Raw genomic sequence first — 18,088 nt, 5'->3', positions numbered from 1 at the left:
GAGAAAGAGGCTGATTCCCAAGATATCTTAGTCAGGAGTTACCCTGACTCTAAGAGCAGAACAATCTGATGAGCGTGATCAAGGCATGAGTCTTGTAGCTCTTTACTCCAAGCTCAGGTGGATAAGACATCTTTTGAAAAACCACCTAGGCCAGGTCAGAAGAAACTTTCCCAGGACACACAGGGCCATTAATTTGCTGAGTGAGATGTGTCTCTAACCGTGCCCTCCTAATGTAGGAAATGAAGAGGTTTTATTAGAGCAATGGTTACTGAGGCCCATTGTCTAAGTTAGATTAACCTAGGCTCTCTGTATAGTCCTGTAAGTTTTCAGGCTTCAGAAAAATGTTTCCTCTGACTGCTTTAATTAAGAATAGACAGAAAAGACAAGGATCTAAGCGGAAAAGCAGTTTTGAGGCTCATGTAGGAGACAGGAAAGGACAGTAGTAGTGGAGATATTAAAGTGAGATCAGATCCCAGCAATATTTTAAATGCAGTGACAATGATATTCTTTCATGGTTTGAATGAAGAGAATTAAAGATAGGGCAAAGGAAAGGTGACTTCAAGTGTTGGGCCTAAAAACCTGAAGGACAGAGCTGTAATTAACTTAGGGAGAAGACTGTGGGAAAATAGATTCCATTTTTAGATAATTCATATAACATATTATACCATAAAAGATGGTATTATTTAATAATGATATCATTTATATAATTTGTTGATTTAACTATGCTTATATTTGTGTGTGTATATATATATGAGAAAGGTTTTGAAAACTCAAATTTGAACACTTTAAGTTTCAGATAACTGGCATGTTCATGAATCCGCTAGTGTGTTTTTCTCCGCATATATAATATTATGTATACATCTGTAATCATACTCTACATGTCACTGAAAGGAGGTAGCCAGCTTGCTTTAGGCAGACAGTAAGGGAAGGGTCCCTGTAGAACCTCCGATAAGGGAACCTGCATAGGGGGCTTGCCTAAACATGCCCGCAGGGGACAAAGGGCCTTCAAGAACACTGGGAGAATGGGGTGGAGCCACCAGGAATTTGCGCTCTATACAAACAGGGAACCCAGCCTTAACAGCTTTTATGTAAAAGCCCTTGTATTCAACTGTGAAGGGGGCAACTGACAACCTGCTTTCAAGAAACTTTTTTCTGCTGAGAGCTTTTCCTTTTCACGTAATGAGTTCTACTCCACTGACTCTTCAATGTCTGCATGCCTATTTCTTTGGTGGTGAGAAAAGAACCTGAACCTAACTGAGCTAGGGAACAAAAAATCCTGCATCATTGTTTTATAACATTCTTCTTTCTTTGGACCCAGGTGAGTAAGGAAGATCTTTGAGAAACTCTACATGCTGCTGCTTCTTATAATATGCTTCTTCTCCAGCAGGTCTCAAAGCGATAGGACACTTGGCCTCTGATAAATAATGCGAATTTATATCTTAATGTAATTCACCTGAAGGATGGGTACTTTTTATTTTCTGAAGTTGGCAAGAAAATGTGGTATATTGTGATAAATTAAGCCCCTCAGGCCAAGGTGATGTATGGTAAGCTTTGTTGGAAAGATAGGCAAGTCTCTGAGGGTGTTACAGTGACAGTGTATGGAAAGCACATGGATAGATTTTTGCCCAATGTTGAGATTCTCCAGTACTTCACTAAGCCCAGAATCACAAAAACGATTTGGTCCCATGGCACCTTTCCGTTTAAACACAAAATGTGCCTTATATTAACCCTTGAGCAATTGACCACAGGATTCTGAGGGAGATTGCTCTACACCCATGAATAAATTTGGATATGAATGTTTTCATTCCAGCTCAGATAACTCATTATTGAATTCCTTAGAGAGAACTTTGCTCCCTACATAAAAAACAAACAAACAAAACCCAAAACAAACATGAATTTCCTTTGGAGACAACGTAGGACAATTCTCTATGGAAGAACTAATATCAGTATGGCTTACAAGGTTACTTGCTTATCCTTTAGGAAAAATAGGCCTCTTATTCCTGTACCTCCCTCTACTCTTTTCCACATTATGGTGCTTAAATGCTCTTGGCTTTCTCCTGCCCACTTAAGGCCTGCCTGCAATTACAAGAGAAACCATTCATACTGGAAATGGTTGCTCTTTGCTGCTCAGAATTAATACTGCCAGGTCTCTTTTTTTTTTAATCTCCCTCTGAACAAAGATGACGAAGAGAGGGGTTACTGATTTGTCCCATTCATGCAACATATGGTTTAACAATCATTTATGGGTTATATTTCTACCTTCAGATCCCAAGCACAGTGCTTCTGTTTTAACAGGTGCAAATAATTTTAATAAGTTATGTGGCCTATGGGAAAAAGGAAGAAAATGAAAGGATACCAGGGAAAAAAAGTAGTTGCAAAATGGGGCAAATTAGCAAAAACAAAAAATGAAAAGTAATCAAGGAAAAAATTGCTAATTGTCCAAGTTTGCTGCTGGCTGACTGAATGCAGTATATTCAGGGAGTACACTTCAGACCCAGAAAAGTCCCTGTGATGACAGGAGGAGTGAAGGGTGTTCTAAACATCAGCCTGATACAAACCAGCTTCTTCTTTCTGTTCCAAGTTTCCAGCTCTTGGCCCACAAGCAAAGTGACATTTGGCCCAGAATCCCCACAGCTGTCAGTTCTAACAGGGGCCAGAGTAATTTTGTCCACTGGTGTGGAATGTTCCGTGAAGTGACCAACAGTACACATTCCAGGCTCTAGGTGACAACAAGCCTTACATTAGGTATTCTGGGAAACAGAAAATTTACCTGCAAATTGGGAGCAGCTTTTAGACAATAGTCATTGTTTGGAGGAATTTATATAAGCAGCAGCTATACGTGAACACAGAGACTGGAAGCTTGTCCAGAACAAGTAACAGAATTGTATCAGATTGTCCTGGAGAAAATTACCCACCTTTGCTGATAAACCCATATCAGTGATTTCAACAGTATTTCTTTATACACATAGCATGTTCTAATAAATATTTAATGCATCTATCAATGAAGAGTCCTTAGTTCATTTTATTAAGTCATGCTCCTTGGTGCCTGCAAGTAGGATGGTAAGATTGGTCTTCTATGTGCCTGAAATAAAGTGATTGTTCTTGGTAAATGATTAGTGTGATATGAGCTACTCTTTTATAATCAAATCATCTCATTATATTTTCCTTTTGAAACTTGAGTTCTTATTGAAGTATAATTCACTGACATATGTCAGATTACCTAGAAAATTTAAGACTAAGATTTGTGTGTAGTTGACTGTCTTCATTTGTTTCTGCTTCCATAATGAAATACCTGAGACTGGGTAATTTACAAAGAACAGAAATTTGTTTCTCACAGTTCTGGAGAATGAGCAGTTCAATATCACGGCATTGGTAAGGTCACTCTCTGGTGAGGGCTTGGTCTCTGCTTCCAAGATGGCATCGTGTTGCTGCATCCATCCTCCAGAAAAAAAAGAATGCTGTGCCGTCACATGGGACCTAGCTAGTTCCCTCCAGCCCTTCTATAAGGTTGTTAAAGCCATTCATGAAGGTGGAAACCTCTCTTAATCACCACCCAAAGGCTTCATCTCTTAATACTATCACATTTGGGATTATGTGTCAAAATCTGAATTTGGGAGGAACACATACAATCAAACGATAGCAGTGACTTTTGGGATTGTGTTAGAGAAAAAGGGCTGCTCATCAGAAGAAGGTGAATTGTGATGAAGTCACATCAGCAGCATTAGTCAATCCCATAAGAATAGCACTGCAGAGACAGCCTGAACTGAGATGAGAGTCTAGGCCTACGTACCAAGTATTAACCAATGGTAGGGTAAAGCCTGTCTTAAAGGAGAATATGCAATCTTAGGAGAAGCAATTCCATTTGGATGAGGGCAATTTCCAGAAAGGGATGCTCCATGTGCCTTTAGAAGCCACCTCTCTCAGTAGCTAAGAAATGAGCATGTCAGTCCTGAGAGCATATCTGGTCAGCCCAGGGAGGCTTACCACAGTCATTGACTACAGTCTACTCCTTACACTCTAATTCCTTACTTGATCATTTAAATTTATTTCTTTTGGAAACAGCTGCTCTAGGATTCCTGTTGATTTTGTTTCTGGGAGGGCTAGTAGGGAACCATATAGTCCCTGTCACTACAAATGGTCATGAGCTTCTAATAAATACTCTTGATCTCCCACCCTACTACCCATTCTAGATTCCCCTAATCTTGTCTAACATCTCTTCTAGTCTAGATAGCTTAGCTTGGTAGGGTGCTCCGAACCCTCATTACAGGCAAACCTCAGAGATATTATGTGTTTGATTCTAGACTAATGCAATAAAGTAAACATCACAATGAAGTGAGTCTCACAAAGTTTTTGATTTCCAAGTGCATATAAAAGTTGTTTACATTATACTATAGTCCATTAAGTGTGCAATAGCACTATGTCTTAAAAAAATCTACCTACTTTAATGAAAAAATACTTTATTGCTAAAAAATGCTACAGAACATCTGGTGGCAGAGTTTTGCCTCCATTTTGAGGGATGCTGATTGATTAGGGTGGTGTTTGCTGGAGGTGACTGGCAATTTCTTAACATAAGACAATGAAGTTTGTCACATTTATTAACTCTTCCTTTCACAAAAAATTTCTCTGTAGCATGCAATGCTCTTTGATAGCATTTGACCCACAAAAAAACTTCTTTCAAAATTGGAGTCAATTTTCTCAAGCTCTGCTACTGCTTTATTGACTAAGTTTACGTAATATTCTAAACCCTTTGTTTGTCATTTCAACAATGTCCATAGCATCTTCACCAGGTAGATTTCATTTCAAGAAACCACTTTCTTTGCTCATTCTTAAGAAGCAACTCTTCATCTATTCAAGTTAAATCATGAGGTTGCAGCAATTTAATAACATCTTCAGGCTTCCCTCCTAATTCTCTTCCTATTTTTCCACATCTGCAGCTACTTCTTCCACTAACATGTTTCTTGTTTTTTCTAACATTGGAAGTTTTGAGTTTTGACTAAGTTTCTTTTAGCACGCCTCTATATTAAAAATTTTCTAATGCTTTTTATCATTATTAAACTGGGGTTATAGTTGGGAAACGAAGATCACAGAGTAAAGTGCCATTTTTATCACATATCAAGGGTACAAACAATATCACTTATGACTATTGATATTGACCATGGTCCTGACTGAAGTAATTTTTGTCAGATGTCTCCACTGTAAAATTATGCTGCCCCCCACACACTTTTCATACTGCAGTCATTGGCAGGAAGTCACTATGTTAGCTCACACTTAAGGAGTGGGATGTTATGCTCCCCCTTTCTTAGGGTGAAACATCTACATAATTTATTTGGAATTCAACATGAGAGATTTATCTCTTCTCCCCCATTTATTAATTTGTTAATTCATTTGTTAATATGAAATCATAAAGATTTATTTTATACTTTAGGTTAAAATCCAACACTACTTTATTTTGATACTCAAACTGTTCCGTCTTTGGACATCAAAAGCTTTTAGTTGACTCCTGTGTCACTTTGATGTACCCTTATTATTGTGGATTATTGTTACTATTGTATTGCTTCCTTATTTTATGGTACTACAAGATTCCCTAGGTTCATCTTAAGTATTTCCTCTTCCAGTCCCCAAATCAGATGTTTCTTTAGGAAACTCTATTTTCTTTAACTGGAGATGAGATAGAAACCAAGATCTAGGTATTAGGTGTGCTCATTGCTATTGGGGTGACATTTTTTAGTTGCTGCCATCTAATAGTAAAAAGCAATACTAACCCACATATATATTAGGGACGCATATTAAGTTAAACATGGTTTCTTACTGATGTCTCCCATTCTAATCTGATACCACATAGATCATGTTAGTCATTTTCTTTGTTGTTTATTTACAAATTTCTACTCAAACATTAAGAATATAGTTCCCATCATATGCCATCCATTTACTTAATTGTTCAGTTATAGTATACATGTATTGTAGCACATTTTTTGACCTTTATCCTCATGAGAAACAATTTTGCCAACTATTGCTTATTGTGGCATTCATTTTGCCTTTAATGTTGCAGATTCCATTTATCTCCAAAATCACTTAGACTGGTACCTCTTCTCATATCCCTTTCAGTGAGATTGTTTTATACGTTGGTGTACATTGGTCAGCTTATCTTGTCACAAACGGCATTCTTTCCCAGGGTCCTTGACCTTCTAAGTTTTTTCTTTTTAATTTGTAAATATTAAGATTAACTATTTTCCTAGGGATGAAGCCAACTTGATCATAGTGGATAAGCTTTTTCACGTGCTTCTGGATTCAGTTTGCCAGTATTTTATTGAGGATTTTTACATCAATGTTCATCAAGGATGTTGGCCTGAAGTTTTCTTTCTTTGTAATATCTCTGCCAGGTTTTGCTATCAGGATGATGCTGGCTTAATAGAATGAGTTAGAGAGGAGTCCTTCTTTTTCAATTTTTTGGAATAGTTTCAGTAGAAATGGTACCAGCTCTTCTTTCTACCTCTGGTAGAATTCAGCTGTTAATTGTCTGATCCTGGGCTTTTTTTGGTTGTTAGGCTATTTATTACTACCTTAATATCAGAACTCATTATTGGTCTATGCAAGAATTCAATTTCTCACTGGTTCAGTCTTGGGAGGGTGTATATGTTCAGGAATTTATCCATTTTTTCTACATTTTCTAGTTTATGTGCATAGAGGTGTTTATACTATTCTCTCATGGTTGTTTGTATTTCTGTGGGATCAGTGGTGATATCCCCCTTATCATTTCTGATTGTGTTTATTTGATTCTCTCTTTTCTCTGTTAGTCTAACTAGCATTCTATCTATTTTACTAATTTTTTCAAAAAAAAAAAATCCAGCTCCTGGATTTGTTGATATTTTGAAGGGTTTTGTGTGTCTCTATCTCTGTCAGTTCATCTCTGATTTTGGTTATTTCTTCTCTTCTGCTAGGTTTGGGCTTTGTTTTCTCTTGTTTCTCTAGTTCTTTTAGATCATGTTAGATTGTTAGGTTGTTAACTTGAGATATTTCTAGTTTTTTGATGTAAACATTTAGTGCAATAAATTTCCCTCTTACACAGCTTTAGTTGCATCTCAGAGATTCTGGTACATTATCTCCTTGTTCTCATTAGTTTCAAATAATTTATTGATTTCTGCCTTAATTTCATTATTTACCCAAGAGTCATTCAGGAGGAGGTTGTTTAATTTCCACATAGTCATGTGGTTTTGAGTGAATTTCTTAATCTTTAGTTCTAATTTGATTATGCTGTGGTCTGAGATACTGTTTGTCATGATTTCACTTCTTTTGGATTCACTGAGGGGTATTTTATTTCCAATTATCTGATCGATTTTAGAGTAAGTGCCAGGATGCAAAGGTGGTTCAACATAAAAATGTGATTCATCACATAAACATAACTAAAGTCAAAAAAACACATGATTATATCAATAGATGCAGAAAAGGCCTTCAATATAATTCAACATTTCTTCATGTTAAAAACTCTCAATAAACTAGGTATTGAAGGAACTTACCTCAAAATAATATGAGCCATCTATGACAAACCCACAGCCAATACCATACTAAATAGACAAAAGCTTGGAAACATTCTCCGTGAAAACCAGCACAAGGAAAGGATGCCCTTTCTCATTACTCCTATTTAACAGAGTATTGGAAGATCTTGCCAGGGCAATTAGGAAAGAGAAAGAAATAAGGGGTATTCAAATGGGCAGAGAGGAAGTCAAATTATTTTTGTTTGCAGGTGACATGGTCCTATATCAAGAAAATCCCATTGTCTCAGCTTCAGTTTCTTAATCTGATAAGCAACTGCAGCAAAGTCTCAGGATACAAAATGAATGTGCAAAAATTGCTAGCATTCCTAAATACAAACAACAGGCAAGCTGAGAGCCAAACCATGAATGAACTCCCATTCACAATTGCTACAAGGAGAACAAAATACCTAGGAATACAGGTAACAAGGGATATGAAGGAACACTTAAAGGAGAACTACCAACCACTGCTCAAGGAAATCAGAGAGAACACAAACAAATGGAAAAACATTCTACGCTCATAGACAGAAAAAATTAATATCGTGAAAGTGGCCATACTGCCCGAAGTAATTTATATGTTCAATGCTATTCCCATTAAACTAACATTGACATCCTTCACAGAATCAGAAAAAAAAACTATTTTAAAATTTATATGAAACCAAAGAATGCTCATATAGCCAAGACAATACTAAGCAAAATGAACAAGCCGGAGACATCACGCAACCCAACTTCAAACTATACTACAAGCCTACAGTAACAAAAACAGCATGGTACCATTACAAGAACAGACATATAGACTAATGGAACACAATCAAGAACTCAGAAATAAGACTGCACATCTACAACCATCACATCTTTAACAAACCCGACAAAAACAAGCAATGGAAAAAGGATTCCCTATTTAACAAATGATGCTAGAACTGGCTATCCATATGCAGAAAATTAAAATTGGACCCCTTCCTTCTACCATATACAAAAATTAGCTCAATATGGATTAAACACTTCAATGTGAAACCCAAAACTATAAAAACCCTAGAAGAAAATCTACGCAATACCATTTAGGACATAGGCACAAGGGAAAATTTCAAAATGAAAATGCCAAAAGCAATTGCAACAAAAGCAAAAAATGACCAATGAGATCTAACTAAACTAAAGAGCTTCTACACAGCCAAAGAAACTATCATCAGAGTCAACAGACAACCTATAGAATGGGAGAAAATTTTTGAAATCTACCCATCTGATAAGGGAACTTAAACAAAATCTACAAGGAATTTAAACAAAAATAAGAAAGAAACAAATGATCCCATTAAAAAGTGGGCAGAGAACATGAACAGTCACTTCTCAAAAGAAAAGATATATGTGGCCAACAGACATAGGAAGAAAAGCTCAACATCACTGATTATTAGAAAAATGCAAATTAAAACCACAATGAGATACCATCTCAGTCCAGTTATAATGGCTATTATTAAAAAGTAGGCCAGGTGTGGTGGCTAATGCTGTAATCCCAGCGCTATGGGAGGTTGAGGCAAGTGGATCATGAGGTCAGGAGCTCGAGACCATCCTGGCTAATATGGTGAAACCCTGTCTCTACTAAAAATAAAAAAATTAGCTGGGCATGGTGGTGCGTGCCTGAAGTCCCACCTACTCAGGAGGCTGAGGCAGGAGAATCGCTTGAACCCAGGAGGTGGAGGTTGCAGTGAGCCGGGATAGTGCCACTGCACTCCAGTCTGGGGAGAGAGCAAGACTTCATCAAAAAAAAAAAAAAAAAAAAAGTCAAAAAAACACAGATGCTGGTGAGGTTGCAGTGAAAAACGAAGGCTTTTACATTGTTGGTGGGAGTGTAAATTAGTTCAACTATTGTGGAAGACAGTGTGACAATTCATCAAAGACCTAGAGGCAGAAATACCATTTGTCCCAGAAATCTCATTCCTGGGTATATACCCAGAAGAATATAAATCATTGTATTATAAAGACACATGCATATGTATGTTCATTGCAGCACTATTCATAATAGCAAAGACATGGAATCAATCTAAATGTCCATCAGCAATAAAGTGCATAAAGAAAATGCGGTATATATCTACCATGAAATACTATGCAGCCACAAAAAGGAATAAGATCATGTCGTTTGCAGAGACAATGGATGGAGTCCATGTGGAAGTCATTATTCTCAGCAAACAAATGCAGGAACAGACAACCTAACACCACATATTCTCACTTGTAAGTGGGAGATGAATGATGAGAACACATGGACATAAGCAGGGAATAACACACACTGGGGCCTGTCAGAGGGGTGGGGGTGGGTGAGGAAGAACATCAAGAATAATAGCTAACGTATGCTGGGCTTATTACATAGATTATGCGATGATCTGTGCAGAAAACCACCGTGGAACATGTTTACATATGTAACAAACCTGCATATCCTACACATGTACCCCTGAGCTTAAGATAGAAGTTGAAGAAAAAAAAAAGATTAACTGTGTTGTGCAGTACTATAGGTTTTGACAAATACAAAATATTATGTATCCATGATTACAATATCACACAGAATAGATTCACTGCTCTAAAATTTCCCTGTGATTCTATATCTGTAGCTTCTTCTCCTCCTGAACCCCCGACACATATAAATCTTTATAGTACAAATTTATCTTTATCTATTTTTTCTTTTTTTTTTTTTTTGCTAGATAACAGTTCATTGTATGAATGTAACGTAATTTGTTTACTAATCATCTATTAAGTGACATCTTGGATGTTTTCAGTTTTATTCAATTATGAATAAAGCTGCCATAACCATTCATGTATAAGTTTTTTTTTTGTGGACATACTTTTCAACTAAACTGAATAAATATCTAAGAGCACAACAACTGAATCACATGGTAAAATTATATTTAGATTTATAAGAAATTGCCAAATATTTTTCCAAAGTGGCTGCATCATTTTTCATTTTCACCAGCAGTGAAAAGAATGAGAATTGCTCTTGGTCAGCAACTTTGCCAGGATTTGGTATTGTTTTTTTGGAATTTTACCCATTCTGATAGTTGTGTAGTTGCATCTTGTTTTTCTATTACTTGAAATTCCTTAAGGACATATAATGGTGAATATTTTTATATGCTTATTTCTCATCAGTATATCTTCGTTTATTGTCACTAACTTTGGACAGAGAATGTCCATATATTTTATATGGTGAGGTATCTGTTCAAATCTTTTGCCCATTTAGAAAATTGCATTATTTTCTTAAGGCTGAGTTTTAGAATTTTTAAAATATTTTAGATACAAGCACTTCATCAGATATATGTTTTGCAAATATTTCCTCCCAAATGGTTCATTGCTGTTATATGGGAAAGCAATTCTCTTGTATATTAATCTAATCTTGTGAACTTTGTTAAAAATCACTTATTCGTTCTAGGAGATTTTTATTAATTCAATGAAATTTTACTGCATAGATAATCATGCCTCATGGAAACAAATATATTTATTCTTTTTAACATATATACTTTTAACTAACTTTTCTTGTCTTATTGCACTAGCTAGGACTTCCAGTACAATGTTGAATAGAAGCAGTAAAAGTAAACATTCTTACCTAACTCATAAACTTAAGGTATATGTAGTTTTTGCCATCAAATATAATGCTAGCAGTAGATTTTTTGCAGATATTCTTTACCAAGTTGAGAAAGTTTCTTCTAATCCTAGTTTGCCAAGAGTTTTTATTATGAATGATGCTGAATTTGGTCAAATTATTTTTCTGCATCAATTGAAATGCTCATATAATTTTTCTTTTATAGCATTCTGATTTATTAAATTAAGTGCCTTTAAAATGTTGAACTAGTCTTGCTTGGAGCAAATTTTACTTGGTCATTGTGTATAATTCTTTTTGTACATTGTTGGTATAATTTGTTAATATTGTGTTGATAATTTATTCATCTCTGTTCAGGAGAAATATTGCTTTGTAGATTTTCTTTCTTGAAAGGTATTTATTGGGTTTTGATATCAAGTTTTCGTAAGGGTGACCTCATGGAATGAGTTAAAACATGTTTTATCTGCTTTTATTCTCTGCAATAGAAGAGAATATAGATAATTGATATCACTTCCCTAAAATATTTGTTAGATTTCACCAGTGAAACAATATGAGCTTGATGTCTCGTTTGGAAGGCTATTAATTATGATTTTTTAAATTAATATATACTTACTCAATTAAATTAATATATACTTATTCAGTTTTTTAAGTTTTGGTAGTTTATGTCTTTCAAGTAATTGGTCCATTTCATCTAGGTTATCACATTTGTAGGTGTAAGGCTCAGCTGTTCTCAGTATTCTTTAATTATACTTTTAATGCCTGTGAGATCAATAGCCATGACACCACTTTCATTTATCAATTTCGTTGATCTTTTATTTTATTGATATTATGATCATTTTTCAAAATAAAAAGCTTTTGTTTCATTATTTTCTCTATGGATATCTTGTTCTATTTTCATTGATTTCTTTTCTATTTTTTATTATTGCTGATTTTCTGCTTCCTTTAGGATTAAATTACTTCTATTTCTATAGTTTCCTAGGGCAGAAACAGATTATTGATTTTACAGCTTTCTTCTATTCTAATTCTATGCCATAAATTTCTCTCTAAGCACTGCTTTTACACCATTCCACAAATTGATAAGCTGTACTTTCATTTTTGTTTACTTCAAAATACATTTAAATTAATTTCGAGCCATTTTATTTTTGTGTTATTTGGAAATATGTTGTTTAATCCCTAAATATTTTGAACTTTCCACCTTTCTTTATGTTATTGATTTCTAGTTCAATTCCATTGCAGTCTGAGAACACAGCTTGTGTAACTTATATTCCTTTAAATGTGTTTAGGTGTAAGGATTTCCTCCCCCAGAATATAGTCTATACTGATGAATCTTACATGTGAGCTTCAGAAAAATGTGTATTTTGCTGTTGTTGGATAAAGTAGTCTGCAAATTTCAGTTAGATCCAATTAATTAATGGTGGTATATCATTACTGATTATTTGCCTGCTATGTCTATCAGTAACTTAACAAAGAGGTGCAGGAAGTTTTGTGGTTTTTGTTTTATTTGTTTGTTTGTTTTTTGGACACAGGTCTGTAGGCAGTAATTCAAGACTACTAGGTAGAATTTCTGGAATTGTAATGCCAGGATATATGTATTTTTCCTTCTTCTTTTTTTTTTTTTTTTTTTTTTTTTTGGAAACGGAGTCTTGCTCTGTAGCCCAGGCTGGAATGCAGTGGTGCGATCGCGGCTCACAACAGCCTCCACCTCCCAGGTTCTGGTTCAAGCAATTCTCCTCCCTCAGCCTCCCGAGTAGCTGGGATTACAAGCCTGTGCCACCATGCCCAGCTAATTTTTGTATTTTTAGTAGAGATGGGGTTTCACCATATTGGCCAGGCTGGTCTCAAACTCCTGATCTCGTGATCCACTCACCTTGGCCTCCCAAAATGCTGAGATTACAGGTGTGAGCCACCGCACCCGGCCAGGATATGTGTATTTTTAAAGCACCATGAGTGGTTTTCTTGTGGATAGTGCAGTTAGAGTAGTCAAGGACTACCTCCATGAGAATTAATTTGATACATTTTCTCCCAAAAGTGAAAATGAATTTAGTTTTATAAGTGGTGAAATTTTTATATCAGACCTGTCAAACACCAAAATTTCAACAAATTTAGTTTAAGATTAATTGACTTTTATTAGTGATTCATGAACTGGGCAGCACCACATCTATGAAATAGAACAGGTACTCTCATGAGCTGAGCAGAAGAGCTGAGTCCTATAGACAGAAAAGGCTGAGCAAAGCAGAAACAACGAACAAAAACCGAATTGGTATTTCAAACTTTCTTTCCTTTTAAAGTTACAACAGAGGGAACTTCCTTATCATGCCAGCTTGAGTACACTGGGCTTCTTTCTATCGGCTTCTGTAAATTTTCTGTTTCTTAGAAAATTAGTCCATCTTAAAGTTCAGTTTAATTACATGACACCTAGCACAAGTGACACCATTCTGACTTGGTCTGGTCTGTTGGGATTAAGTGCATAAAGTCAGTCCAAAACAAAGGCTTCCAGTAAGTTTTATTTAACAGAGCATAAGGCATTCTTTGGAAGGCTTCCTTTTAGAAAGTACAGTGCTTTGGGACCATGGGCTGCTGAAGAACACATTTAGATAGATATGTTTATTACCAGACCTAAACATTCCATGTGTTACCTTGACAGCTTTGGGTTTCATGGAGCTATAGACATCTAGTCATGAGTTTCCCTGCTCTTGCCAGATCATTCCCAAACATTGGGAAAAGTTATCCACTCAACTATCAGGTGGACTAGCTGCCCCATTCCTCTGGTTACTACAAAGCCTGCCTACCATAGCCCCTGCTGGTTCACTGTATTTCTAAATAAATAACCCTGCCAATGTGACCCTGTATGGAGTGTAGTGTTCCCCTCCCCAAGTCTGTGAGGATCTGTGACTAATAAACGGCTGCAAATCTTATCTGTCCAGTTTTGGGTGTCACATATTTAGCTATCTCACACTATTTAGGGTGAGATATCCCTCTTTTCCCAGTGGGTAAGTAGGAGGTAATCAGAATAATATGGAGTATCTAAAAGGAAGGGGAATGAAGCAGGAACAAGAAAGGAGAATATTAAAGAAGAACTATAGAGAAACTGCATAAAAACAAAAAAGTATCTAGTCCTTTAGGCAATAATAGAATTAATTTGAAAACTAAATTAAAAAACTGGCACAACTGAGGAAAAAATACTATTTTCTATAAATTGCATGCTTTTATTATAAAATTTGAATATAAATAACATTTTTATAACAATTTTAATACATCAATAAGCATTTTCTTAAATGAAATATTTTAAGAAAGATAGAGATGTCAATTTTTATAGGAACATCATAGACTTTCTAAAGATGTTGTAACTTCAATATTCACCCTTATCTTTAGAAATATGGAATCAGAACTGTGAGCAGTTTTTCCTGCTTGTTCTGTTGAATTTCCCTTAAACCAACAATCACCAAAGGTATGCCAGTGTGAATAGAAGTACTTCTCTAAAATGAAACCAATAGGGGGCTTGTTCCAAGAAATGCTTTACTAGGTAAGCAGGCTAAATGTGCTGAGCAGCAGTTTGGAGGCACTCTGCTATGTTTCCTTTTTATTTATTTTTATTTGTTTTTGTTTTCAGAAAACACAGTCTCTGAAGTCCAGGCTAGTGATAATTATTCAGATCCTCTCAAAAGCACAGTTGCTTTACCCAAAGGCACTGCCTTTGCAGAATTGAAGTCTTTGCACTGAAGTACTCTTGGTATAAATTCCTTCTTTAGATTAAAAAATAAAAAGGCAAATATTAAATTTATTATGACTTCTGTTTGATAAAAAATGAAGAACTTTATACCAGTTAAAAGATTCCATAGTCTATTATTTTTTATAATGCTCACCCTCATTTTAATGTAAGATGTCAGCTTATACCTTCTTTGAATAAGAGAAGGAAGAAAGTGAGAAACGTAAGCAATAATGAAACTCTTCTAAGGAAATGAGAGTATGATGAGGCTTATACTAGATGTCATAATTTTTTGATACCTTTCCTAAAACTCTCTTTTATTCATTCCCATTCCTCTGAAGCAACCTATTATTTTGTTCTCCTATAATGTTTTATTTAAAGCTCCTCTAAAAACATGTATTAGATTGAAACACAGTGAATTATCCATGTGGTGTTTTTTTCTGATTTTATACTTACCCATCTTTATATCTCTAGCATGGTGGCAGGTTTTAAGTAGATATTCAAAAATATTTATTGAATTTTATTGACTGTGCTGTTTGCATTGTTAATTACTGCCAGTGGTGTTCAGGGTCTTTTGTCTCTTTCTTGTTTTCCACTAAACACAAGTGGCAGTCATTAGCATCTTCAACTACAGCCCCACTCAAAGATCACAGGACCAACAAGAGCAACACTACAGGAAAAAAAAAACTATTTGGCTCAAGAGGAAGTCATCTCTAATCTAAAAGGGAAAGAAGAAAAGACCCTTGTCATTTAAATGATCATGATGTTAACTGGTTCAGAGCCTCAGTTCCCTCTTGGGTTTAGAACATGTTCTCAACTTGGCCCTTGACTTTCATCTGACTTTTAGAATGCCTGAACACAAACTGACCTTATTACCCATCCTTTTTTTTTTGTGCCACACTCACCCTGCAAGTCCAATTAGGTATGTTTCACTTTGCCAAGCCACTCTCTGGGCTGAGAATGAAGATTCCAAAACAATAAAATAAGAGATGTGTTGTTGGATTGAGCCTTCTTTGTCAAAACCAGCAGCCATATCACTTCCCAGCAGTCTTGCTTTTCAACTCTTTTCCTCCTGTTTCATTTAACTATGTCAGTACTCAGTAATGTCTTACTGAGTCCTATTACCACTTTGCTTAATTCCCCAATTTTCTCTTCCCTAATTGTGCCTAGACATGCTTTGCATTCAGTCACTCTTTAGTTCATGGGACCCTATTTTCAGCAAAGAAAAGTCTTTAAATCTGGGAAGAGGCCTTGAGGGGCTGTGGTCATTGAATTCACTTAGCCCAGTCAAATCTAAAATGAATCTCTTAGAAACAGAAATGGGAGCAGAGCAAGCATGACATGGAGGAAAAGAGGACATGGAGATGTTAGTGAAATTTCATATATAGGTGCCATAGACAAGTTCTACCTAATGGTTTCCATCTGAATCCCTCCATTAAAGTTTTACTCCTCAGCCTTACAAAGCTTTTCCACCTAGTAAAATACTGTTTACACAAATTTTGATCAGCTACATCTCAATGTGAATGTCTTTAGCACAGTATTTCCCCAAAGCACATTTTAATAGTGGAGAGGGACTATTTCTCACAGGTAGCTGCATACCTGAGGTATCTGGGGAGGATTCCCCAGAGATGAGATAAGTAGAGCAGAAAGGAATAGCAGGGAACTCTGGAAAATAAAACTTAAGGTTTTCAGGAAGAATTGCCTTGCATTTTCATGTTGCTTAATCTCCCTATCTTGGACCTGTATGGAAACAATAGCAATGTCTACGATCAAAAAGGTTAATTTACTCTAAGTAAATTATTTATAATAATGGAAAAGGTTTTTGGAAATTACCATGCAATTCTTAAGAATGCTAGAGTTTCCTACTGATTATCCTACCTGAGGAAGCATACTCTAGGCAGTTGGTATTTTAAGCAGCCAGTGCTTTCCAAAAGACACAAAATGTCATTGTCTTAGTTCTGTGTTGCTCTCCACAAATAACTAACTTAGACCTGGTACTCTTATCCTCCACTTAATCATTCTTTGTAGATTGGCTGCCCTTCACTGAGGTCTTTCTTGTTCAATCTATCAAAGGTTTTTTTAATATGTATATATATTTGTGTGTGTGTGTGTGTGTTTTACCTTAGAGTTCAGCACTTTTTTGATTTACTAAACCTTCACAGGAATTTTTAACTCAAATTTATTAACCCTAGAAGTAAGCATTTATTTTTTTTCTTCATCTAATAAAAAACTCCCCTAAATCAATATCTAAATGACTCATACATTCTTTTACCATGATCGGTCACTAAGGTTTTTTGTGTTCCCCCTTCTACGATTTAACTGATTCTTATTCTTTGACATTTTCGAAGCAAGAACAGCCTTTTTGAATTCATTAGCAGGGTCCTTAGCTGGATTCTTGCCCCCTGTGAATTCAGGCCCTTCACAGTTCAACTTTCTCCAGCATGTAATTGCAAGTTCTACATCGCGCCCCTCTGATTATTACTTTTAAAAATTGCCTCTGTTGATTACCTGCCTTCTTTCAGTGAGGCCCTGTGAGAGTCCTCTAATTTTTGAAGCTTTGCTGGATTCCAGTTCACCATCAGGATAGAAGGAAATGAGAACATTTTTGTTCCTTGCTATAAGGAAGTAGCTTAAAGCAATCTCTCTCCAAATGTCCTTCTGCCTCTCATTTCCCACCTGCACCCCAACACACAGGCACCAGGAAATCTCAGCAGGACAGCCAAGTGCTTCATGCAGAAGCAATTAGACAAGGTTATAAGATTCTCTTCACCTTCTCCTCCATGTTCCCCGCAGCTTATGCAGCCTTCGGGGTAAGCAGGAAGCAGTAGAGAATCCACCAAGCTCACAGAACCTCTCCCAGCAAGCAAATCATTTCAATGTATCACATTTAAAGTAATTCACCAGTTAGAATTCAGGCCTGCCAACATACCGAATCTTTCTCCCTATGTTGTTCAATACATAACACTTAATAGACACTTTACCTATAAACTCCTACTTTGGGAGGGGGTGTGTTTTAGGCTCCAAATGACTGGGAGTTAATTCTTCATCGAAAAATTAATGGAATTGCAGTGAGACAACCTTATTTTTGCAAAAAAAAAAAAACCTTGTAATATTAATATTATATTGAGTCAATCTTATTTACTTATAAACTAAGTTTGAGCACCAGTTTGCAATTTGTCCAGCAGGGTGGTCTATTTAGTACTGACAAATGGCTACAAACAATAACTAAGAAATTTAGAATGTGATGCCATAATTTCTCCTGGGACATCCACATCAGCA

At 36.0% G+C, this 18,088-nt stretch overlaps 1 annotated feature.

The window, feature by feature from the left end:
- Positions 15,186–15,771: an enhancer, noted in NCBI's record as "OCT4-NANOG hESC enhancer chr18:41339915-41340500 (GRCh37/hg19 assembly coordinates)". NCBI's record gives its function as "activates a minimal SCP1, AML or CMV promoter by ChIP-STARR-seq in primed H9 embryonic stem cells {active_cell/tissue: H9 hESC(primed)}" and the evidence as "EXISTENCE:reporter gene assay evidence [ECO:0000049][PMID:30033119]".

Source organism: Homo sapiens, chromosome 18, assembly GCF_000001405.40.
Source record: "Homo sapiens chromosome 18, GRCh38.p14 Primary Assembly".
Classification (NCBI taxonomy): domain Eukaryota; kingdom Metazoa; phylum Chordata; class Mammalia; order Primates; family Hominidae; genus Homo; species Homo sapiens.
This window is presented reverse-complemented; position numbering and strand designations above follow the sequence as displayed.